The 24,990-nt window shown below is 38.2% G+C and overlaps 1 protein-coding gene across 26 annotated transcripts in view; it reads right to left on the bottom strand.

The window, feature by feature from the left end:
• The window catches only part of SLC25A26 (solute carrier family 25 member 26), a 245,318-nt gene that overhangs the window by 94,273 nt on the left and 126,055 nt on the right, over window positions 1-24,990 (bottom strand). For 25 of the 26 annotated variants that reach the window (NR_028475.1, XR_007095631.1, NR_174572.1 and 22 more), the window contains 2 exons: window positions 22,500-22,604; window positions 21,276-21,323 (listed from right to left, as the gene is read on the bottom strand). Coding sequence is in view for 10 of the 26 variants with exons in the window: in NM_173471.4 (NP_775742.4) it covers window positions 21,276-21,323; window positions 22,500-22,604 (153 nt within the window). In the remaining 16 variants the exon portion in view is untranslated. Of the gene's footprint in view, window positions 1-5,042; window positions 8,291-21,275; window positions 21,324-22,499; window positions 22,605-24,990 lie in introns of those variants that run through there. The other variant, XM_011533328.3, reaches the window with a different exon arrangement.

Raw genomic sequence — 24,990 nt, 5'->3', positions numbered from 1 at the left:
GAGCTGCAGTTTGTTCTTTTTACACTACTGTGTATTATTCCATGCACTTACATATCATAGTTTATTTTTTCTCATATTGAGAAACATTTATCTCAAATTGTTCCTGTTATAAACAATATTGATATGCATATTGTTGCATGTGTCTCTTGGTGCACATGTGCATTTCTGTTAGGTATACACCTGCCAGTGGTGGAGAAAATCAGCTTATATGGATCTTCAGTTTTACTGTATCATATGAAACTATTTTTTCAGAAGGACTTTATTCCCTCTCTGATAGCAATGGATTAGAGTTCCAGCACTCAGCATTCTTTCTAACATTGCTCTATTGCCCAGACTGGAGTACAGTGGCATAATCTAAGCTCATTGCAGCCTCCACTTCCTGGGCTCAAGTGATTCTCCCACCTCAGCCTCCCAAGTAAATGGGACTATGGGTGTGCACCACCACAGGCAGCAATTTTTTAAAAATTTTTTGTAGGAACATGGTCTCACTATGTTGCCCAGGCTAGTCTCAAACTCCTGGGCTCAAGTGACCCTCTTGCCTCAGCCTCCCAAAGTGCTGGGATAACAGGCATGAGCCACCATGCCCAGTCTATCCCGAAATATTTAAGTGTGTAATATTAATTGACTTTAAAATATTTTAGCATAAAAAAGTGAAGACACAGATAACATTTCAGTGGCATCAGAAAATATTACCTAGGAATAAATTAAGAAAATTCAAAACGGTCAACAAATTTATAAAGTATTATCGAAACATTAAAGAAAATGGAGATTAAAGTAAATGGAGATACCATGTTCAAGAGATAGAAGTCTCAATATTCTAAACTTAGAGTCTTATAGAAAGTTTCTCTCTCATAAATATGTGTGGTTCTTTTTTGCAAATAAATTTATTTTCTGGACTATTTAACTTTTGTGATTCAAGAGTCAACTAAGATTAAAACAATAATAAATAAAACCATTATGGGGTATTATTACACACCTACTAAAATGGCTAAAATAAAAATCCTGACAGTAATCAAGTGCTAACCATATACTGCTGGTGGGGATGTAAAATTGTACAGCCACTACAGAAAAGAGTTTGGGCCAGGCACAGTGGCCTAATAACCCCAGCACTTTGGGATGCCAAGGTAGGCAGACTGCTTGAGCCCAGGAGTTTGAGACCAGCCTGGGCAACGTGGTGAAACCCCATCTCTACAAAAAAATACAAAAATTAGCCAGGTATGGTGGTACATGTCTATAGTCCCAGCTTCTCAGGAAGCTGAGGTAGGAGGATCACTTGAGCCCGGGAAACAGGTTGCAGTGAGCCAAGACTGCGCCACTGCACTCAGCCTGGGTTAACACAGTGAGACCTTGTCTCAAGAAAAAAGAAAGAAAAGAAAAGAGTTCACAGTTTCTAATAAAGCTAAATATACACTCACCACATGGCCCAGCAAACCCATTCCTGCATTTCTACCCTAGAAAAATGAAAATGATGTTCACACAAAAACTTATACATGACTATTAACAGGAATTCTCTTAATAATGATACCAAAAGAAGTCAAATGTCCTTCAATAGATCAAAGGATAAACCATAATTTTTGTATTCCACTATACGTCCTAACAATGGAATACCACCCTGCAATAAAAAGGAAGAAACTATTGATACATGCAATAACTGGGATGAATCTCAAAGGCATTACGCTGAGTGACAGAAGGCAATCTGTAAAGGCTGTATATTCTGTAATGCCATTTAAATGACATTCTCAAACAGAAAAAACTATAGTGATGGAGAACAGATCGCTAAAGTTGCCAGCAGTAGGAAGCAGGGAAATGGGTATGCATCGGCTAGCAGAAGGGACTTTGGGGTGATGGAAATGTTCTGTATCTTGATTGTGATGATGGCTATACAAATCTATACGTACGCTGAATTCACAGCACTGAACACCGGAAAGAAGTTTACAGTATAATTCTTAAAATAAATCATAATTCTGTGTTCTTCTTGCCTGATGTAAATATATGAAATGGGAAAGATGAAATAATTTAATTTTTTTTTCTGCCCAATAAAAGAGCCTAGATGCAATGATACACCTATAGTTTCTAAATACCACTCCCCACCAGAAGGAATCAAGGCCCCCTTGGGGAGGGGCTGATTACAGGACTGGGGCAGGGAGAGTACAAGGTAAGACTAAGATACCTTGCTACACCAGCAAGGAGGTTCTCAAAGACTAATGGGGGCCTGGCACAGTGGCTCATGCCTGTAATCTCAGCACTTTGGGAGGCCAAGGTGGGCGACTCCCTTGAGGTCGGGAGTTCGAGACTAGCCTAGCCAACATGGTGAAACTCCAACTCTACTAAAAATGCAAAATCAGGCCGGGCGCGGTGGCTCACGCCTGTAATCCCAGCACTTTGGGAGGCCGAGGCGGGTGGATCATGAGGTCAGGAGATCGAGACCATCCTGGCTAACAAGGTGAAACCCCGTCTCTACTGAAAATACAAAAAATTAGCCGGGCGCGGTGGCAGGCGCCTGTAGTCCCAGCTACTCGGGAGGCTGAGGCAGGAGAATGGCGTGAACCTGGGAAGCGGAGCTTGCAGTGAGCCGAGATTGCGCCACTGCAGTCCGCAGTCCGGCCTGGGCGACAGAGCGAGACTCCGTCTCAAAAAAAAAAAAAAAAAAAAAAAAAATGCAAAATCAGTTGGGTGTGGTGGTGCGTGCCTGTAATCCCAGTTACTCGGGAGGCTGAGGCAGGAAAATCGCTTGAACCTGGGAGGCGGAGGTTGCAGTGAGCTGAGATCATGCCACTGTACTCCAGCCTGGGCAACAGAATGACACTCCATCTCAAAAAAAAAAAAAAAAAAGGACTAACGGGGAAATGTCACATGAACACAGAAGTAGGCTGAAGAGGCTCCCCACTGGACAAATATGGGACAGTTTAAGTATCAAAAGAATAATACTAATGGTAATAGACTATAATTACCGAACAAAAAAAGAATCCATGACTATGGTGGTGATTGCACACACTTATGAATATAGTAAAATCCCTTGAACTGTCACTTTAAACGAGTAAACTGTCTGGTACATGAATTCTAACTCAATTAGGCTATTTTTTTAAAATCCATGAGTCCATGGGGATTTTTTAAAAAGGATCTGGAGGGCAAGGGAGGAAACTCTTCCCTACAGAAGAATGCCAGCTAACAAATTCATAGAAAAATGACAGTATTAGGAAAATCATTATTTTGCAATCACCAATGTAACAAATGCTTCAGACAAGAAGTATCCACAGATGTTAAAACTATTTATTGGGGAATGGGATAATCACTTGTTCTCAAAATATTACCGCATAGATTGCCTCTTAACATCAAAGGATAATTGAACCTTTAGTGTATAACAAACGAAAACAACTTAATCAAACCATTAAACTCACCAAGTGTAAGACTTTTTGTGCCTCCTGGTATAACTCAATGAGAAACACCCCAAAATACTTAGGTATTCATATAAAAAAACCAATTAACCTGAGTCTAATCATAAGGAACTCAGATAATCCAGATTATGGGACCGTTTACAGGATAAATATCTCGGACTCTACAAAAGTCTATGTCATGGAGGAAATAAAAAAGGTTGGGGACCCTGACAACCAAATGCAATGTATTTGTTCACTTGTATCCTGAGTAGAGAAAGAAGCTGTAAGGCTTTTATCACTGGGACATCAGGGAAATTGACCACATATTAGATAATATTAGTTAGTGAATATTAAATTTCTTGGGTGTGATAATGGCATTGTAGTTATGAGAAGTAGGACTCCATTCTTAGGAGACATGCTGAAATACTAAATGATAAGTGTCAAATTGTCTGCTACTTACTTAAAATATTTCAGGAAAAAAAAGAGGAAGAAAGAGGAGCAGAGCAGATTAAGCAAAATGTTAACTGGTGAATCCTGGGGAAAAAAAATACACGTTTTACCTTTTCTATAAATTGTAATTTTTCAAAAAAGCTGGAAAGGCAGAAAAAAAAGAAAAAGGTGGTGTTACTATGCATTTCAAACTTCCTCACTCATACCTCAAAGAGTAGAAAGGAAATAAATATGCTGTTACTAGACGAGCGTTAAGAGTTCAAAGAATTCAGAGACCAACTCTGCCTTCCACTAACAGTGTTTCGTGCTTTATGTAGATCAAGTTACACCACCAAAGGTCAGCTTTCTCACTGGTATTAAACAGAGAAATGTCTGTTAGCATATAAAATGGTTTACAAGGTAGATGAACATTACAGATTGACTGGGAATCATGACAAGGTATTCAAGAGGTACTTACTTTCCAATTACTCAGTTGGCAATAATGATTGAGAATTACTGTGAAGATTAAATGAAAAAAATATATATGAAAAGTACCTCATCTGGCATATGGCAGATGCTGGATAAATTCAACCTACTTTCTCCTTCAAATACAGAAAAATAATGTGGTAAGAACTTATCACTTACCAAGAGGCAACTATATACCAGACCTTTGGTGTCTTCACTTCATCAAAACTTAATGATTGAGATGTGTTGTTCTCACTACTTTTTCAAACTAATATTAAATGTCTAAAAGGATGAGAAAACCTTGGAAAACCATTGTGTGAACAAAAAGATAAATCAGCAGAGTCTAATTATCACAAGATCTTTGTTAGTCAACATGAAACATAGCATAGCTGACTGTGAACACAGATACTATTGGTATCCTCTACCAGGTAAATGACATGTTTGTCATTTACCCTGTGAAGGATAATAAATTTTGTCCCGAAGTGATTTTTAACTTAGTCATCATTCCATTCTCTGAAACAGAAGTATGGAAAAATTCACTGATAATAGGAAAGACTTACAATACGTGGATCAAGACACAGGCAAGCTGTATCAGAAACTTGGTAATCAGTTTGTAAGACTCCCACAGATCAATTTAACCACTTATTTCCAAAACATAATCAGGATACACACTAAACTAATAAGATCAAAATACTTTTCTAAGAATCATAACATTAACATAATTCCTTCCTACTATAAAAAACAAACCAGTGAAACACATTTGAGGCCAAAGAATCATGAGAATGGTTATCATCGGCTGTCTTTAATGAGATATTTGTAAAATAATAGGCACTAGAGAAAGATAATTACCTGACCCCACCTCCCCAAAAAAATCAGAATCAAATAAAAGCCTTCAAACAAATGGACTAAATTCTTATATTTTTCATATCTGAAAGCATTTTCATTCAATGAGGACACTGTAGCACCAGGTGTAAGTTTAACAGAGGCAGAGCTGTTGGCAAAACCTGGGCTGCCTGACCACAAAGCCCTGGTCTGAACCACTATGCTATGCGGCCTTCAGGAAACAGCAAATCTGACCCAAGAATAGAAGCCCAAACACAGTGAATATTAACACAGGATTAGAACAGGAGAATGAAAGATTCCAAGATTCCCAGGGTAAAAGGGGACTCAGGACAAAAGACAGTATGTTTTCAAAGTTGTCATACCTAAAAATAATGCAAATAATGCCTTTTTCATACAGAAAAGGCAATTAGAAACTCCAAGAAAAAAAGACAAGCTCATGCCCCAAATGTTGGAAATTAAATTTTAGCAACTGATAGAGTGCAAGAAGGTCTATTTGATTCTGATGCTGAAACCATCTCTCAGGGTGTAAGTCCCACACACAAAAAAAAATACAGCCTTAGCACACTACATGGTCTGATCATTCATGAAGTCTTCTCAATAATACAAACACTAGTTCACCGGTACTCCACTTTTAGAATCAATACAGAAGAGCTATGAAAGAAGTGACTGAGGGTAAAAGACAGGATGAAATTGTCAACCCTCTTGACAATGTACAATGAAAGTATAGTTGAGAGAAGTCTTTCCAGAAAGTGAAATTTGCAGGTTAAGGAGGACAAGGTGGCAAAAAGAAAGCAACAGCCTCATCATGTCAAGAGAAAGTTGTAAGATGCAGAAAGTTCGTAGGATAAGAAATAAAGAAACGAATATATAACTTAAAGTTTCTAAAATGAACAGAGGAATGAAATTTATATAACTGGAATGCTAGGATGAGACAGGGTTGGGGAAGAACATAATGTGAGCTTAATCACATCTTCCATCCCAAAGACTCAACAAACTTTATCTACTGACAAATTTTAAAACAGACATTTAAATAATATATTATCTGAAAGCACCGATGAAATAAGAACTAAAAATAAAACAGTTAAAATTTTAAAAAATAAAAAATAAAGGCTACCTCTAGAGAGTGGAACCAGAATGGAGAGGGATGGGCAGGAGACTGTTGTTTTTCATCTTAAGTCCTTCTACATTATTTGGGTTGTTACTAATTGCATATATTATTTTAATACAAGTTAACAATAAAAGAAATTAAATTTTAAATTTAACTTGTCATTATTTTAGAAGATGACTCTAAAAACAAGTACTTCATACAATGTCCAAATGTGGCATTTTAGTTTGTTTTTTAAAAACAAACTCTCATAAAAGTTGCATAAATAGCAGAGTTCACATATATGCTGGCTTCTCTAATGTTAATAAATTAACTACAGTACACTTATCAAAACCAGCTACCAGTTTTGCTGCAATGCTAATAGCTAAATTACAGATTTTGAATGTTACCAGTTTTTCCCAAAATCTTTTCTGTTCCAGGATCAAATCCAGGATCCTACACTGCATTTACTTGTTGTGTCTCCTTAGTCTTCTCTTATTTGTGGCAGTTCTTTCATCTTTCTTTATCATAACTTTGACAATTCTGTACAATGTCTCTCAATCTCGGTTTGTGTGATGTTTTCTCATGATCACACTGAGATTATGCATCTTTGGCAAGAAGACCAAAGAAGTGACATTGTGTCCTTCTTGGTGCATTATATTAGAGATGTATGATGTTAATATAATCTTATTACTGGTGATGCTAATCTTGATCACTTGGATAAAATAGTGACTGCCAGTCTTTCCAACTGTAAAATTACTATTTTCCCCTTTGTAAGTGATAAATAGCTTTGGGGAAATACTTCTAGACTATGATATTCGTTTTTTAAAATAAATGACAAATAAAGATTATATATATTAAAGTGAGCAATGTGATGATTTGATACACAATGTGTAATGATTACCACAATCAAATTAATTAACACATCCATCACTTTTCATGCTGTACCTTAAATACCCAGAACCTGCTGATCCTATAACTGACAATTTGTACCCTTTGAACAACATCTCCCCATTTACCCACCCCCTAACACCCGAGAACCATGGTTCTACTCTCTGCTTCTATGAATTTTACTTTCTTAGTTTACACATATAATACAATATTTGTCTTTCTGTTATGACACTCATTTTTGATACATTATACATATTTACAGTTATCTTTTAGAGATGCATAGTGACGTATTTCTGGATGAAATCAGAATGTCTGGTATTTGCTTCAATATCATACAGACATGTGGGAAGCAGGGTTTGGTATAGATGGAACAATACTGCTCAAGAGCTGGTAATTGATGAGACTACAGGGATTCATTTTAGTAATCTTTTTTGTGTGTCTTTAAATTTTTCCATGGTAAAAGTTTTAAAAAATTAGAACCCAAATAAATACAACTCCATGTACATATGTATCAAAAGATAACACAAATTTATCCATTCAGGTATCTTGATCGGAAAACACTATTATGCTTAAATTTACATTTTCTAATTTGAACCTTTTTTTTTTTTTTTCAAACAGTGCCAGGAAGCAGCTTCCAAGTTCATGCTGAGGTTTTTGCCACCAACATTTAAAATACAGGCATTGTGCGCCCTCTAGTGCGTTCTTCTATAATGTCAGTTTTGCACTGACAAGTTGAATAACAAAAAGCAGAGTATATTCAAAAAGGGAAAAAAAAAAATCCTCACAAAAATTTCTGCTTCTCCACTAGTCAATAAATTATCTGCTAGTTACTTGGCTATGTATACCAAAACCACTTCAAGGCCAAAGATTATCAACCTTTTCCCACCTACTCTACTGTTTCTCAGAACATATGATGCAGCACAGGGAACAAAAAAGGACAGACTACAATCAGTCAAAACATTTTTAAGCACCCCTCACAAAGGCCAGACGAAAAAGGATGCTGAAATCAATATTAATGGCTGTTTTAGAAGCATCTCATTGTGTTCTGCCCATACAAACAGTTCCATTTCTATCCTTTAGAATCCTCTAACACTCAGAAATTGTGCTCCACTCTCACTCAGGTCAAGATTTGGTTCAAGTCTTGTAGATCCCCCATCACATTATTTTCTTAGGATTTACTGAAAAATTCTATCAGTGAATTTATCTGCAAGACACAAACAGGAAGCAAAGTGTAATAAGAATCACAGGATTTGGAATTATACAAACTTGACCTCCAATTCCAGTCCTGCCACCTCCTAGTTGTATTACTTAATTTTTCTAAGCCTCTGCTTATGATCTGTACAAACAGGCTGATGTCTTACAGTTTAAGGATTAGGAAAATATATGTAAAGTTAACAATCATAATTAGTATTCAAATTTTAACTATTTTCATTATGTGATCCCAAAGTAATCTGTAGCCAGGTAGTCGAACCCACAGATAAACATTTTAATTTCCTTTGAATGATTCCAATTGCTATTTTTTAATTACACATCTAAAAAACTACATTTGACCTTCAAATTTAGTTTTCTTACATATATAGTCTCTTAATACTCCATATAAGATGGTGTTTATTCAGACAATAAGACAGTATACAGTAATGAGAACATCAAGGGTAATTCTTGACCCACACGGTATTCACTGGAGATAATTCGCACACACCTAATGAAGGATCTTCTTCATAAGTTTTATTATTTTCATGTGTCACTTCAAAAACTGTTTTGAATATATGAAATAGTTACAGGAGTAACTGTAACTAGAAAAGACAAAATTAAAATAAGAGCTATATGTAGACAGCAGTAAATATGATAAGAAAATTAATCTCAATGGAAGTACAGACAGTTTATCTGGCAGAAAACCATTAGCTTGCCTAGGAATTTAGTGAGAACTCCATAATTCTTGCTAAATGTATCTGGAGATCTTAATACCTAAGTACTTAAAACTGGTCTGCTTTTGAGAAGCAAGTATGATTAAGTCATTGGTTTGTTAAATATTTTCTGAGTGTGCTATGTGCCACACTCTTCTAGGTGTTAGATTAATAGTAGGGAACAAAACGGGAGGCATCTGCCCTCCTGATGCATACATTCTAGTGAAGGGAAGACAGCAGTAATTAATTTTTTTTTTTACTATTATTATACTTTAAGTTTTAGGGTACATGTGCACAATGTGCAGGTTAGTTACATATGTATACATGTGCCATGCTGGTGTGCTGCAACCATTAACTCATCATTTAGCATTAGATGTATCTCCTAATGCTATCCCTCCTCCCGCCCCCCACCCCACAACATCCCCAGAGTGTGATGTTCCCCTTCCTGTGTCCATGTGTTCTCATTGTTCAATTCCCATCTATGAGTGAGAACATGCCGTGTTTGGTTTTTTGTCCTTGCGATAGTTTACTGAGAATGATGATTTCCAATTTCATCCATGTCCCTACAAAGGACATTAACTCATCATTTTTTATGGCTGCGTAGTATTCCATGGTGTATATGTGCCACATTTTCTTAATCCAGTCTATCATTGTTGGACATTTGGCTTGGTTCCAAGTCTTTGCTATTGTGAATAGTGCCGCAATAAACATACGTTTGCATGTGTCTTTATAGCAGCATGATTTATAGTCCTTTGGGTATATACCTAGTAATGGGATGGCTGGGTCAAATGGTATTTCTAGTTCTAGATCCCTGAGGAATCGCCACACTGACTTCCACAATGGTTGAACTAGTTTACAGCCCCACCAACAGTGTAAAAGTGTTCCTATTTCTCCACATCCTCTCCAGCACCTGTTGTTTCCTGACTTTTTAATGATCGCCATTCTAACTGGTGTGAGATGGTATCTCATTGTGGTTTTGATTTGCATTTATCTGATGGCCAGTGATGATGAGCATTTTTTCATGTGTCTTTTGGCTGCATAAATGTCTTCTCTGGAGAAGTGTCTGTTCATATCCTTTGCCTACTTTTTGATGGGGTTGTTTGTTTTTTTCTTGTAAATTTGTTTGAGTTCATTGTAGATTCCGGATATTAGCCCTTTGTCAGATAAGTAGGTTGCAACAATTTTCTCCCATTTTGTAGGTTGCCTGTTCACTCTGATGGTAGTTTCTTTTGCTGTGCAGAAGCTCTTTAGTTTAATTAGATCCCATTTGTCAATTTTGGCTTTTGTTGCCATTGCTTTTGGTGTTTTAGACATGAAGTCCTTGCCCATGCCTATGTCCTGAATGGTATTGCCTAGGTTTTCTTCTAGGGTTTTTATGGTTTTAGGTCTAACGTTTAAGTCTTTAACCCATCTTGAATTAATTTTTGTATAAGGTGTAAGGAAGGGATCCAGTTTCAGCTTTCTACATATGGCTAGCCAGTTTTCCCAGCACCATTTATTAAATAGGGAATCCTTTCCCCATTGCTTGTTTTTCTCAGGTTTGTCAAAGATCAGATAGTTGTAGATATGCGGCCTTATTTCTGAGGGCTCTGTTCTGTTCCACTGATCTATATCTCTGTTTTGGTACCAGTACCATGCTGTTTTGGTTACTGAAGCCTTGTAGTATAGTTTGAAGTCAGGTAGTGTGATGCCTCCAGCTTTGTTCTTTTGGCTTAGGACTGACTTGGCGATGCGGGCTCTTTTTTGGTTCCATATGAACTTTAAAGTAGTTTTTTCCAATTCTGTGAAGAAAGTCATTGGTAGCTTGATGGGGATGGCATTGAATCTAAAAATTACCTTGGGCAGTATGGCCATTTTCACGATATTGATTCTTCCTATCCATGAGCATGGAATGTTCTTCCATTCGTTTGTATCCTCTTTTATTTCATTGAGCAGTGCTTTGTAGTTCTCCTTGAAGAGGTCCTTCACGTCCCTTGTAAGCTAGATTCCTAAGTATTTTATTCTCTTTGAAGCAATTGTGAATGGGAGTTCACTCATGATTTGGCTCTCTGTCTATTATTGGTGTATAAGAATGCTTGTGATTTTTGTACATTGATTTTGTATCCTGAGACTTTGCTGAAGTTGCTTATCAGCTTAAGGAGACTTTGGGCTGAGACAATGGGGTTTTCTAGATATACAATCATGTCGACCAATAACAGGATCTGAAATTGTGGCAATAATAGCTTACCAACCAAAAAGAGTCCAGGACCAGATGGATTCACAGCCGAATTCTACCAGAGGTACAAGGAGGAACTGGTACCATTCCTTCTGAAACTATTCCAATCAATAGAAAAAGGGAATCCTCCCTAACTCATTTTATGAGGCCAGCATCATCCTGATACCAAAGCCAGGCAGAGATACAACCAGAAAAGAGAATTTTAGACCAATATCCTTGATGCACATTGACGCAAAAATCCTCAATAAAATACTGGCAAACCGAATCCAGCAGCACACCAAAAAGCTTATCCACCATGATCAAGTGGGCTTCATCCCTGGGATGCAAGGCTGCTCCAATATACACAAATCAATAAATGTAATCCAGCATATAAACAGAACCAAAGACAAAAACCACATGGTTATCTCAACAGATGCAGAAAAGGCCTTTGACAAGATTCAAAAACCCTTCATGCTAAAAACTCTCAATAAATTAGGTATTGATGGGACTTATCTCAAAATAATAAGAGCTATCTATGACAAACCCACAGCCAATATCATACTGAATGGGCAAAAACTGGAAGCACTCCCTTTGAAAACTGGCACAAGACAGCGATGCCCTCTCTCACCACTCCTATTCAACACAGTGTTGGAAGTTCTGGCCAGGGCAATTAGGCAAGAGAAACAAATAAAGGGTATTCAAATAGGAAGAGAGGAAGTCAAATTGTCCCTGTTTGCAGCAGTAATTAATTTTTGAACAAGAAATGAAGGTAATTTCAAACATCAGTGCATGCAAAGGTAACAGGTGAGTGATCAGGGATGGGGTAGGTCTATTTTAGCTGGAGTGATCACAGGAGGTCCCTCAGAGAAGGGGCATGTAAACTAACACCTAGATAAAGGAAAATCACGCAAACGTGATAATATGCACTTACAAGCCACAGTTCTTCATGAACACTTCCATCAACACAGATTCCTTACACTTGCTTATTTCCTCTAATTAATTTATTTTTAATATCATGTAGACTTCCAGTTTCCCCAAACTCCTGGCACTAACGCCTATCTAAAGGCTTAAAGACTACAGATATAAATATGGATTACTCATTTTAAATACATATTTTCCTCCCCAGAAAAAATTTATCTGTTTATAAAATGTAAAATACACAGCTCACCATAAAGGTTAAGTTCATGGATTCTGGAGTCCTCTGATCTCTCCCTTACTGGTATGAGACCCTGGGCCAACCACAAACTTACCAAGCTTTAGTTTCTGTCAAGTAGGGATCGCATTTTGGGCTGCTGTGAGGATTATGTGAAATAATGTATGTAAACAACTTAGCACAGTGACTGGAACATTTTAAGTACTTGGTAAATGTAAACAGTTTATTTCCATCTAAAATGACACACATTTTTTAGGTGTTTACATATGAATATATCAATATAAGAAGTATTCTCAGATTTTAACTTTAAAATCAAAACTACATATAAAAGTAAATAAATCAGAAGTAAATTCATGTCTTCAATTTCAGTGAGACCACCAAATAATTTTTAAAGATGAGTTTCTACACTAGTGCCCAAAAGAACAAAGGTGGCAGAAAAAGAAAACGAACAGACATTTCCATTTACAGAGGAGAATGACCAAAAAAAAAAATAGTGGTACAGACAATTACTCATGGATCTTAACAACGATGGATGCCCACATGTGGGCTGAAGCTAGAGATGTATGAAATGGTCTTCTTTCTGAAGAGATGAAACTTTAGCTGGAAGGGTTTGAAGGGACAGAATACGGCAGATCCTATGGGGTGACTCAGTAACGGTAGTACCACTGCCCCCAGTCCACCCTTTGCCTGACTTCATCTACTACAGTGAAAAGCTACATACTCAACTTCCCAATCCCCACGCAACTCATAAAGGCCCTGAGATACCATCTGTCCCAGGAAAGTTTTTGTTTTCGAGATAAACAAAAGGACAGATAAAGTTAGTACTGCCTCATGCCCTTCCCCTTCTTCATAGTTCTGGAATAGAACTATGATGCCTGAAAGCAGAACAGCCATTTTGTGACCATGAGTCAATTAGCCAGAGCATTAAAGTTAGCCAGGCAAAATGAAAGAGACTGGATTCTCCTTGCCCTCATCTAACCAGTACACCAGCCTTAGAATGATCATCTTCAGATTTCTTGTTACAAAAGGGAAAAACAGAAAACTTTTTTGGTGAAACCATTGTAGTCAAATTTTCTGTTATTTGAAGCCTAAATGCAATCCAAATGGACTCACGAAGACGAAGAAAGATGACATTTCACATGGGATGAAAACCACAAAGGAACAACAACAAAGAGCTACTTCAACACTATGGTTTATGGTCACAACGTTTAAATAAAGAATTAACAGATAATTTCCACCTGTATCCAATAGCTTCCAATGTGTTTACAGTGAAGCATCATATTATTGCATTTACATCCCATAAACCATACACACAGGAACTGGTGCCCCTTCAGGACAACATGGCCAACATGCAACAATGGAAATATGTAGCATTTTCAAGTCACTTCACAGCGTAAATGAAATTTGTCCAAGGAATGAAAAAAGTAAATAGCAGCTGGTTTCATGTAAACGAAACATGAGAAACTATGCACTGAAGGGCTAGAGTAATACTTCCACATTAAGATAATTTTACTCAATTGTTCTTCCTAAAAATATTTGCTTATTTAAGAGATGATGAAAAACTAAAGGCTAAAGTCCAGGTTTGAGGAGTAATAATTTTAGGTTCTTGAATTAAAGAATGAATCAAATGAACCAGCATTCATTCTTCATAGAACATCTCTACGGTAAAGTTATAATAATGTAAATGCAATTAAGTGACTCATTTTATAAACCTCTATGATAAAAGAGGAAATTTCATTTTCATTTGTTTAATATTTCCATCAAAAAGAATGTCTCATTACACATTTACTGAAAGCCTGAATAATAAAACAATGGACAACTTCCAAGAGCAAACAGGGATTTTTTTCTTTTCCCATGAAGCTAGCATTATGGAATTTTAACAGATGTTCTATTTGGTCATAGTTAATAAAATGAATTATGTAGGATTAAAATAGGGTTCAATATGTTTGCATTGGATTTTAACTGAAAAACAATTTCACATTAGAAGTTTGGAAAGATTTTGAATCATTTTTTTTCCTTTTCAGTAGAAGTGCTAAGATGAAGAAAGTAAATGAATAATTATAGCACTTACTGCTTTTCCAATAAAACCAGACTTATAAAAACTACTTTTTCAAGGTTTAAGAAGACTGAAATCTTAGAAAAGTATATACGCTTTGGTATTTCATCACCTGTCTCATGCAAAGATCATAGTAATGTAGTATATCAAAAGCCTGATTCACTACCCTACATAACTCCAAGCCCCCTTAGAGCTCCCTCACCTTTCTGAAATGATCATGACGTCAGGCAGCATCTGAACAAAAATAAGTCAAACTTAAAGCAGTGAAAAACGACAAGTATTCACTGAGTGCTCACTGTGTAGAAGATATTATGCTAGAGCCTGGGCATCCTACAAGGAGGTAAAAACCCAGTGGCTGTTTTCAAGAGGATTTACACGCTATCTGGAAAGATAAGGAACAACCCAACTATAAGGACAAACTGAAAGAGAACAAGGTAAATCAAAGAAAACAATTTCACACAAACATACACAGAGACAGATACACAGCACTGATACAAGAAGGGGGAAAATTCTCCCTTATGAGCTAGGACTATTTTTTTTCTCTTTTACAATCATGATAAGCAGGAAATAGTATATAGAGCCTTAAGGACAGTAAAGATGCAACAGAAGTTCTGGCGATAGTTGCTTGGTAACATTTTTCAGTGGAAAACATCCAACTGGTGCAATCTCCATAAGAATAAGCCAAAAATGAACAATCATGGAATTTTCCCAACACACTTCCATTAGGAATCTTGATCAGCTCAATCATCAATTAGGGTAACTTTACTTTTTATACCAATATGCTGTTTTTCCTACATAAGTAGCCAGTGAATACAAAATCAACTGCAGGTTGCAATTTTTTTACTATTATAAAGATGTCTCTCAATAAGACATCTGGATATAACACTCTCATTATAGCTGAAGAGCTTTACAAGCAGTAACAGTTGTCTGGCCTCTCATTCAAACACAGCAATTGTTAGTCATCAACATGTCTGAATGCAGACATATCAAGGTTGCAGCCCTGTTAAAGAACCCAACAACCTAAAAGCAGGTTTAATTTCCGAATCTCCTAGCAGGCTATACTGCTATCACAGCCGCCTTTTAGAACTGCTGTAAAGGTATAAAGGTATCAACGAGAAGAGTCTATGCAAAGTTCCTAGCACAAATGGGCAAACCTGGACTCAGATTAAGTAAACTTGTCAGGAGCAGATGGCTGGTAAGGGACAGAGCTGCATTCCACACTTGGGTGTTTTATCAGTCCATTCTCACACTGCTATAAAGATACTACCTGAGACTGAGTAATTTATAAAGGAAAGAGGTTTGGCTCACAGTTTGCATGGCTGGGGAGCCTCAGGCAACTTACAATCATGGCAGAAGGCAAAGGGAAAGCAAGGCACGTCTTACATGGCAGAAGGAGAGAGAGAGCACAAAGGGGGAACTGCAAACACTTTTAAAACCATCAGCTCTTGTGAGAACTCTCTCAGTCTCAAGAGCATGAGGGAAACCACCCATGCAATCACCTCCCATCAGGTCCCTCCCCTGCCACGTGGGGATTACAATTCAAGATGAGATTTAGGTGGGGACACAGAGCCAAACCATATCAGGTGTCCTTCACTGTTAAAGCTCTTTCAGTTACCAGAGTACCAATCATCCTAGTTAACATTTCCTGAGCACGTACTGTGTGACAGGCATTACAGAAGGCACTTCGCCTGGATCCCCTCATTTAATCCTCACAAGAATTTGGGGGAAGTTTCAAATCATCAGTTCACAGGAAAGTAAATAAAACTGTTCTCAGATATATGTTATTATGTCCAGTCTTACTTGTAATTAAAATTAGAACTACAATGACATCATGTTTTGTCTTTAAGACTGCTAGTCCATAGGTGAGGCAGGGGAAAACAGAAGGCTCCTACATTGTTGGCAAGTGTCAATTGGTACTTCCCTAAAGAGCAATTTGGCATTATCTACCAAAATTACAAATGCCGATACTTTTCACGAAGTAATTCTACTTGTGGTATGTAACCTGCAAACATTCAACCATGTATAAAATAACACAGGAACAGCATCACTCACTGCAGCATGTCTGTAATGTCCACCAACTGGGAAATGTTAAATAAACAATGGTTTGTTTATACAATGGACTACTATGCAATCATTATAAAAGATAGTGCTCTTAATGAAGTGATATAAATGATCTCCAAAACAAAGTAGGTTAGAAAGCAGCAACAAAAAATACAGAAGATCTAGGATAGAGTGTCTCTGGAAAAACACTAAGGAGACTTATATAACATGAGTGTTCGGGGGAAAGGCACTGAGTAGGCAGACAGCAGAACTGGGAAGGAGACTTTGGAGGGCAGTCCTTGACGCTTGATCGCTGAAGGTTCCCGTTTCCAGCCACTGGATTTAGGGGAATCCCCACTGCCTAACATGGATATTAAGGGAAAACAAGTCTGAAAAGCTGCCATATCCACTTTTGAATAAACTACTAAGAGTGATGATTTTTGCACCTAAAGACTGGGGGCTTCAATGAACTTACTGAACAGATTGAATTACTTGTTTGGCATGTTGACTGCTTACAGCAAAACTAGGGTGGGGAGAATAACCCTCACCTATCTCAAATCTCTTTACTAGCATCTACCGAAAAGAAACCAGGAGTTATTTGTTATTAAAATGGCTACATCTTGCCATTGGGACAGCTCCAACCAGCTTCTCACCTTCAGGTTTCTGCAGACAGGAGTCAGATACCAGCAAGTTATCCTCCAGACTCCAGGGGACACATGTCAGGCTCTTTCAAGGGCTTTTCCCAAATTCTCCACTCCAGTCCCTGGCAAACAGCTGAGGGCAAGAAGTTCAACTTCTCCTCCAGGCAAACACCCCACTTCGTGCTCTCTTGAAGGCCCTCCCTTGGCTTGCACTCTCTTCTATGGTCATGAAAACCCCAATTCTGCTTCAATAAGCAAGCTACACACATGTACTTTCACACCCTTATGGCTTTGCTCTTGCTGTTCCATCTGCCTATAACCTTAACTACTTCTAACTGCCACTCCTTCAACAATTAAGAATCGTTTTATGCTAACTGAGCACCACTCAAGCATTGCTTCGTCTGTAACCCCACCTGCATCTTGTATATACTTATCATTACAGTGCTTATGACACTGCACTGTAAAGTGTCTACTTCCCTGTTTGTTTCCCCGCCAGAAAGTGAATGCTTCAGGGCAGAAATGTTCCTTGTAGTGCCCCAAGACCCAGTAGGCACTCCAGAAAGGACAGCTGAGTGAAATTTGTGGACAAAAGACATCTGCTAAGTTTAACTAATTCCCACTTCTTTTGAAACAATCTGCTTTACTCTGCTTTCTTCCTCTATAAAAAGTCCTTCTAATTCACATCCAAGAGTATGAGGCTGCTCTCCATAAAATTTTCAGGCCAATAGCATCTCAAATCATCCTGGATATGAAAGCATCTATGATTTTGCTCCCCACTTTCATCTTACTGCAGTAATATCACTGCACCAGCATGCTTGACCACATCTCATTTGGCAAAGATCATGAGAAAAATGAACACTAAAAGGATGAGGTAGTGTAATCTGCTGACCTTGTTTAGACTCCATCTAAAATTCACAGTAACTAAAATAATTTCAGAGAATGTAAGGGATAAGCATGCAATCTCCACAAACATCAAATGCAGTAAAAAAAAAAAAAAAAAAAAAGTGTGACAACATTCACACAATCTAAAGAACACCGAATCTATCTTATAATGCATGGACTCAAACTTCAATCTCATTCTAATGGGCAACTGCTAGGGAGATAAAACCAGTTTAAAGAAAAAATTGCATACAGAATAAATGTATACGTTTCCAGGTGATTCTCACTAAGATTTTGATGTATTTTCTTATTGAAACAACAGACACGCTCTTGGCAAAAAGATTTTATATTGGTGCCAGAATAAAGTAAGAATCTAAACTATTTATAATGCATAAAATTCTGCTTAAAGCAGATGTATCACTTCTTATTTTTCTCATTTTGAGAAGAAGCTATGTTTCATTCGGCAATAATTCTTCTCTCATTCTATCACAGAATCTGTACAAAAGCAATACCTCAACTAAAATCAACTCTGAATAAATATGCATAATGCAGAAGACCTCAATTAAATCTCCAACAAAACGCTGCCATTTTGAGTAAACAAAGTCATCTCAGTGAGGTCACACTACTTTCAAGGATTGCAGGCTACAAATTAATTACTAGCAGGACATATGTCAAAACAAATTTTTTAAAGAACAGAAAGCAGTTGCGACCATGTGTTTTATCTGTTTGTATGTAAAACCAGTATTCTCCGGCATGTAAATATTCATTTATTCAGCATCTCTCAGAAAAATAAAAAAGGCTTATTGCCTCTCTTTGTCCTGCACCCAGGTGAAATCTGAGTAAGGAACACATGTTTAGTGAGTCAGAAACTAAGTACAGAGTGAATATACAGTATGGGTGCTATTTCTGAAAGGCACAAGTCATCTCCACACAATTAACTAATTTTGAAACATTAAGTTTGCCTTAAAAAGAAGTTCTTCAAAGATCTACACCAACTAGGTTGCTATGAAAACCAAAGCTTTAAGTCACAAGTAACAGTGTTGGTATGTCATAAAGAAGATTGTTATCTCTAGTTAAAAACAAAAAACTACCTGAGAATAAAATTTGGGATTTCAATGAATTTCAGTATTCGGTCAAATACGGCAATATTTAACTATTATGTTTCAGTATACCAGAACCTCCAAATAGAAAACGCAGATGCAGAGCAGATGTATGCAGGTTCTCACTTGTATTTTCTTTAACAGAGAATTGTGTCCCAAACCAGACTTCTCTTATATCTCACCTATCTGAAAACGAACTTTTGAACTTAGAAAAAACTAACTTTTTCAAGATAGTCTCTTCTATGTGAAGCAAAGATTATAACATGCTTCTTTTTATTTTTATTTTTTTTCTTTTTTGAGACAGGGTCTCTCTGTCACCCAGGCTGGAGTGCAGTGGCACAATCACAGCTCACTGCAGCCTCGACATCCCAGGCTCAAGCAGTCCTCCCACCTCGGCCTCCCAAGTAGCTGGGATTACAGGCACCACCATGCCCAGCTAGTTTTCGTATGTTATAGAGACAGGGTCTCACAATGTTGCCCAGGCTGGTCTTGAACTCCTAGGCTCAAACAAACCACCCACCTCCACCTACCAAAATGCTGGGATTACAGGCTTGAGTCACCATGCCTGGCCCATACCATGTTCTTGCAGTAATATACTGAAACTACTTAGTGATGGTAAACTTTTGCTCTTTCAACCAAACAGAACAAAAGAAAATTTCCCATGTGTTGAATCACAGAAATTTAGAGTTAGAAGGCAAAGAGAGGTGAAGTGGCTTCCCCTGGGATACACTGCTCTGTGAATCACCTGCAGTGCCAGGACTCCAGTCCAGACTGAACTTCCCAGCTCATATTTTGTTATCAAGAAGCCAAGGGCTCACTGCCTGATACAGACTTCTGAGACATCCACCTCTTAAACCAGCGGTCCCCAACCTTTTTGGCACCAGGGACAGGTTTTGTGGAAGAAAATTTTCCATGGACCAGTGGTGGGGTGGGTGGTTTCAGGATGAAACTGTTCCACCTAAGATGTTCCACCTCCGATCATCATGCATTAGATTCTCATAAGGAACACACAACCTAAATCCCTCACATGCGCAGTTCATAATAGGGTTCGTGTTCCTATGAGAATCTGATGCTGCTGCTGATCTGACAGGAGGCAGAGCTCAGGTGGTAATGCTCACTCACCTGCTGCTCACCTCCTGCTGTGTGGCTCAGTTCCTAACAGGCCACAGACTAGTACCAGGCCACGGACCAGTACACGTCCACGGCCCTGGGGTTGGGGTCCCTGTCTTAGAAGGCTTATTTCATTACCAATTTTTCATTAGTTCCTCAAAATTCAGTAATAAACTTGATATCTTACCCTTAGTAGTTATTTCTTTTTTTTTGGAGACAGAGTCGCTCTTGTTGCCCTGTTGCCCAGGCTGGAATCCAGTGGCACGATCTTGGCTCACTGCAACCTCCACCTCCCAAGTTCAAGCAATTCTCCTGCCTCAGCCTCCCGAGTAACTGGGATTACAGGTGCCCACCACTTGGCTAATTTTTATATTTTTAGTAGAGACGAGGTTTCGTCATGTTGGCCAGGTTGGTTTCGAACTTGCCTCAGGTGATCTTTCTGCCTCGGCCTCCCAAACTGTTGGGATTACAGGCGTGAGCTACCACGCCTGACCCGAAGTTACTTCTTAATACTTCAACTATAAGAGGCCGGGAGGCCGGGCGCGGCGACTCACGCCTGTAATCCCAGCACTTTGGGAGGCCGAGGCGGGAGGATCATGAGGTCAGGAGATTGAGACCATCCTGGCTAACATGGTGAAACCCCATCTCTACTAAAAATACAAAAAATCAACTGGGCGTGCTGGTGGGCACCCGTGGTCCCAGCTACTCGGGAGGCTGACGCAGGAGAATGGCGTGAACCTGGGAGGCGGAGGTTGCAGTGAGCCGAGATCGCGCCACTGCACGCCAGCCTGGGTGACAGAGCGAGACTGCATTTCAAAAAAACAAACAAAAAATACTTCAACTATAAGAGACATTTAGCCACCCTAGAATAACAAGTCAGTAACAACATGGGTCATTCTGACCACTGAAATTGCTCTTCCGGCAAACCCATTCTACTCATTCTTTTAAATATAAAAACTCAGAAAATTTAACAGAAGAGTGACGATAATTTCCCTTTTTGATTTTTTAAACCAAGTTTCTCCAAATATATTTCTAATTGTTAAGTAGTATAAATTTACTGAACAAAGGACATCATTCTTTCGTACTTCAATATTGGAAAGTAAGTGACTTACCTCTCTTAAAACTGTGCTTTTATAGCCTCGATACAACCCTTGGATACCCTGAAACAAACACACAGCCGAGAGTTCAGAAAGAATGGCAGAGATTTCTGAAGGACATTCTGTATACAGCAGATCTACCTGCTCTTGTTTGAGTTCTAGAACATTCACAATTGCCACACTTCTCTAAGAGGTTAATGATTCTAAACTGTCCTAAGGTACATAACTATACCTTATATAACTTATATACCTCTATAACTAGCTCCTAAGGGAGCTCAGATTAGCTCTCTTTGAAACAGGAACATCTCTAACAATAAAACTGACTACATATTTACTTAGTTTTAGTTGCTGTTATTCTACTAAATATTAATTATATAGTACTTAATTGCTCTAACATGTGTTCTCTTGAAAAGAACATTTGAGATGCTTTAAATACATTTCCAAAAGCAAATGCCTACAAATGCCAATTATCCTTTTGTATAAAAACAATTATATTTATAGCCTCAAACATCAGAAATTCATTCATAATCTCTCAAACTAGTGGTCAGTATTTCCAGACAACCCTGGATTAACCATCCACATAGTTCAACGGGGAAGTTATACTAGCTTCATCTCATTTGTACAATTAGATATTCAATGTCTCCTCACCTATGTAACACACCATTACAAATAACTTTTCTAAAATCAAGACTCTTTGAAAATTCCCATGTGATTGATTCTCATGTCTTTTTAAAAAAAGGCTTCCATAAAAACTATAAAGGAAAGCAGCTAAATGCTCTCTAGTCACATGGTCAGGAAGAATAATTTCTGACTGACAGCTTCAAATACATCTGTAAAAGAAGCTACATTTTGGTATAAACGTTATGACATTGGTCACTGTTATCAGTCCAGTACTAAATCTCTTCCATGGACCTAAAATACTATACTGATGTTTTAATATAATATCTTTCTTCATTTTACATATTTAAAATTTGTTTCACATCTGATTCCAGAAGAACTGCAGGAAGATTACAATTCAGGACACTCAATGTTATGCTCAGAAATTTGAAAAACATGTAAATGAAAATATTCAAAAACCAATAAAAGGCAAAGATAATCTTAGCAAAAATTTACTATAACTGGACATTAAATTTAGCTCTAAAGTTTTCTCTAAGGCTCTTAGGATGAAATCCACAGTGTTCGTATTAGCTACTATAAAATCTTAATAAAGAAAAGAAGAGCTTAAAAAACCCATCTCACCTCTTCATATAAGATGTTAGAGAAAATCTGAAATGTTCTTGTAGAAGCAGATACCTGTGCCCTCTGCTTAACCACTTCAGATGGAACTCGAATCAGGCAGGCAACCTAAAAGACAAATTTGATTATATCCTAAAAAGTAAATAACTGCTATAAAAATTGAAATTTTTTGGTAAGCAAAAATTGTAGTAAAAAGGTATAATATGTAGGCTTACTGCAAGATGTCAAAAAGTTTCTTTTTTTTTTTTTAACCTAAAACTCTTGGACCCTTAAAGCATGTACATTGTTTTGTCAGCCCAGAACCTTTCCTGGCTTGTCCTATATAGATCCTGCCACCTCCCGCCAGATGTTCCAAGAACATCTGTCTACAAGCCTCCCAACGGCAAGAAGCACATTTACTCATTTCGAATCCCCAACGCCCAGAACTGCAACTGGCACATGACATTTCAAACATGTGTGATGAAAAATGAACCAGAGGAACCTCTGCTTTACTGGAAGTAATGCATACATCCGTAGAGGCAAGCTGACCATCAGCTGGTACCCAGCCTTCCACCCTTCACCAACTCCAGCCCCTAGACCTCTTGATCATGCAGCAACTGAAAAGGGACTCCCAGCACTCTCATACACTCTCCTCCAGCATTCCAGCAGACTTGAGTCATCCTCACAGCTACCAGCCAATATATGATTCTAATATCACCCTTGGTGACATGCTGAGGCCGGGTATATGTCATCTCAAATCCACACTGCCAGGATTTTACCTTACCCTATATTAAGGTAATTTACTTATTTTCAGAAATAGAAACAATAAAGAATTAGTCAAACCCAAAGGAACTCTGCCCACAAAAGCAAAGAAGGCAAGGTTGGAGAAGGGGTGGCAAGGTACAGGGAGGGAGATGTGTAAAAATATTTTAAACATTTTAATGAAAGTCCTGTATTTAAGCCGCTATGCACCTAGCAGTCTGCAAATATACAAACTTTTTCTGCAACTTAGATTTCACATATGTAACCTTGAACATGAAAGTTATGGCACTCGGGAAGCCGAGACAGGAAGGTCGCTTGAGCCCTGGAGTTCAAGACCAGCCTGCAAGAAATGTAAGAAAACCATTCCACCAAATAGAGTACACAACTCAAAGAGGTTTGCCCTTTATGATCCGTATTCTCCTGATTCCTAATCAGAGATCAGTACTCAATTTGGATATCACATAAGGCTTTGCCTGTCCAAAATTAAATGGTTCTAAGGCAAGGCTCTACAGCAAATTTATAATGTAAAAGACCAAATAGGAAATATTTTACAGTTTGCAAGCCACATGGTCTCTGTCACAATTGTTCAACTATGCTGTTTTAGCACAAAAGCATCTATACATAATAATATATAAATTAAAAGTTTGCCTATGTTCCAATAAAACTATATTTACAAAAACAGGTGACAGCTTGCCAACTCCTACTCCAAGGGAATTAGCCTTGGCAAGAGCAGACTGGGCACAGAACAGATATAAGCCCGAGCACCCCATGACAAGTGGGACAAAGACACCATGTGATGTGATTTTAGATGTCATGAAGTCAGCTAACACGGGCATATTGCCTCTAAAGCTAAGAAGTAACAATGCTTCATACCGATGCATTACAACAAAGGGTATGGTTATGTTAACAAAGGATTCATAACCTGAAGTTATTTTTCTACCAAAACTGACAAGATTTACAAAACGATATCATCTGATTTCCATTTCTTCATTCACTGAACATTTGAATGCTTCTTATGTATAAAGCTGTCTGTAACTTGGGCCAACATATTTTTCCACCCAGTCTCCCTTCAAACTTATCTAATTCAGTTCAAGAAATACATATGGAGCCAGATACCACACAAGCCACTCCATGATAAAGAAGACTAAGATGATGCCCTGGCTTCAAAGAACCCGCAAATACATATAAATAATTTCAATAAAACATGGCCAAAAGGGGGGTGGGGCGCATGGACAAAGATTATGGGAAATGTGGAGGAGGGGTATTTAGTCCAACCCCCAGATTCAGAGAAACTGCCCAAGATTACACCATTATAGAACCTTCTGGATGAGCCGGAATGAGCTGGCAAGAAAGGTGGAAAGGGCACAGTGGGAAGAATGAACAATAAAAGGAAGTACATAAATACAAAAGCAGGGTGTTCAGGGGAATCAGCGGCAGTCCCACCAACACAGTATTCCAAAGCTGGCAGCTGCCCACACCATTCCGTATTACCAAAGCAGCAAGTGCAAGGTCAGGAGTAATGACAAGTAAGACTGGACAGACAAGGCCCTGTATACCATGCTAAGGGGCTGAAACTTCATTCCATAGTCAGTGGGAACACTTGAAAAAGCTGAAGCAGAGGAATGACGTGTGCTTAGGGAGATCACTCTGGCTGCAATGCACAGGACAGCTGGAGGGTGGGGAGGAAGGCAAGAAGCAAAGGGGGACCACGAGCCAGAAGGCAAAAGATGGGTTACGAGACTGCTATAGCAGT

This window comes from Homo sapiens, chromosome 3 (genome assembly GCF_000001405.40).
Source record: "Homo sapiens chromosome 3, GRCh38.p14 Primary Assembly".
NCBI classification, from domain to species: domain Eukaryota; kingdom Metazoa; phylum Chordata; class Mammalia; order Primates; family Hominidae; genus Homo; species Homo sapiens.
This window is presented reverse-complemented; position numbering and strand designations above follow the sequence as displayed.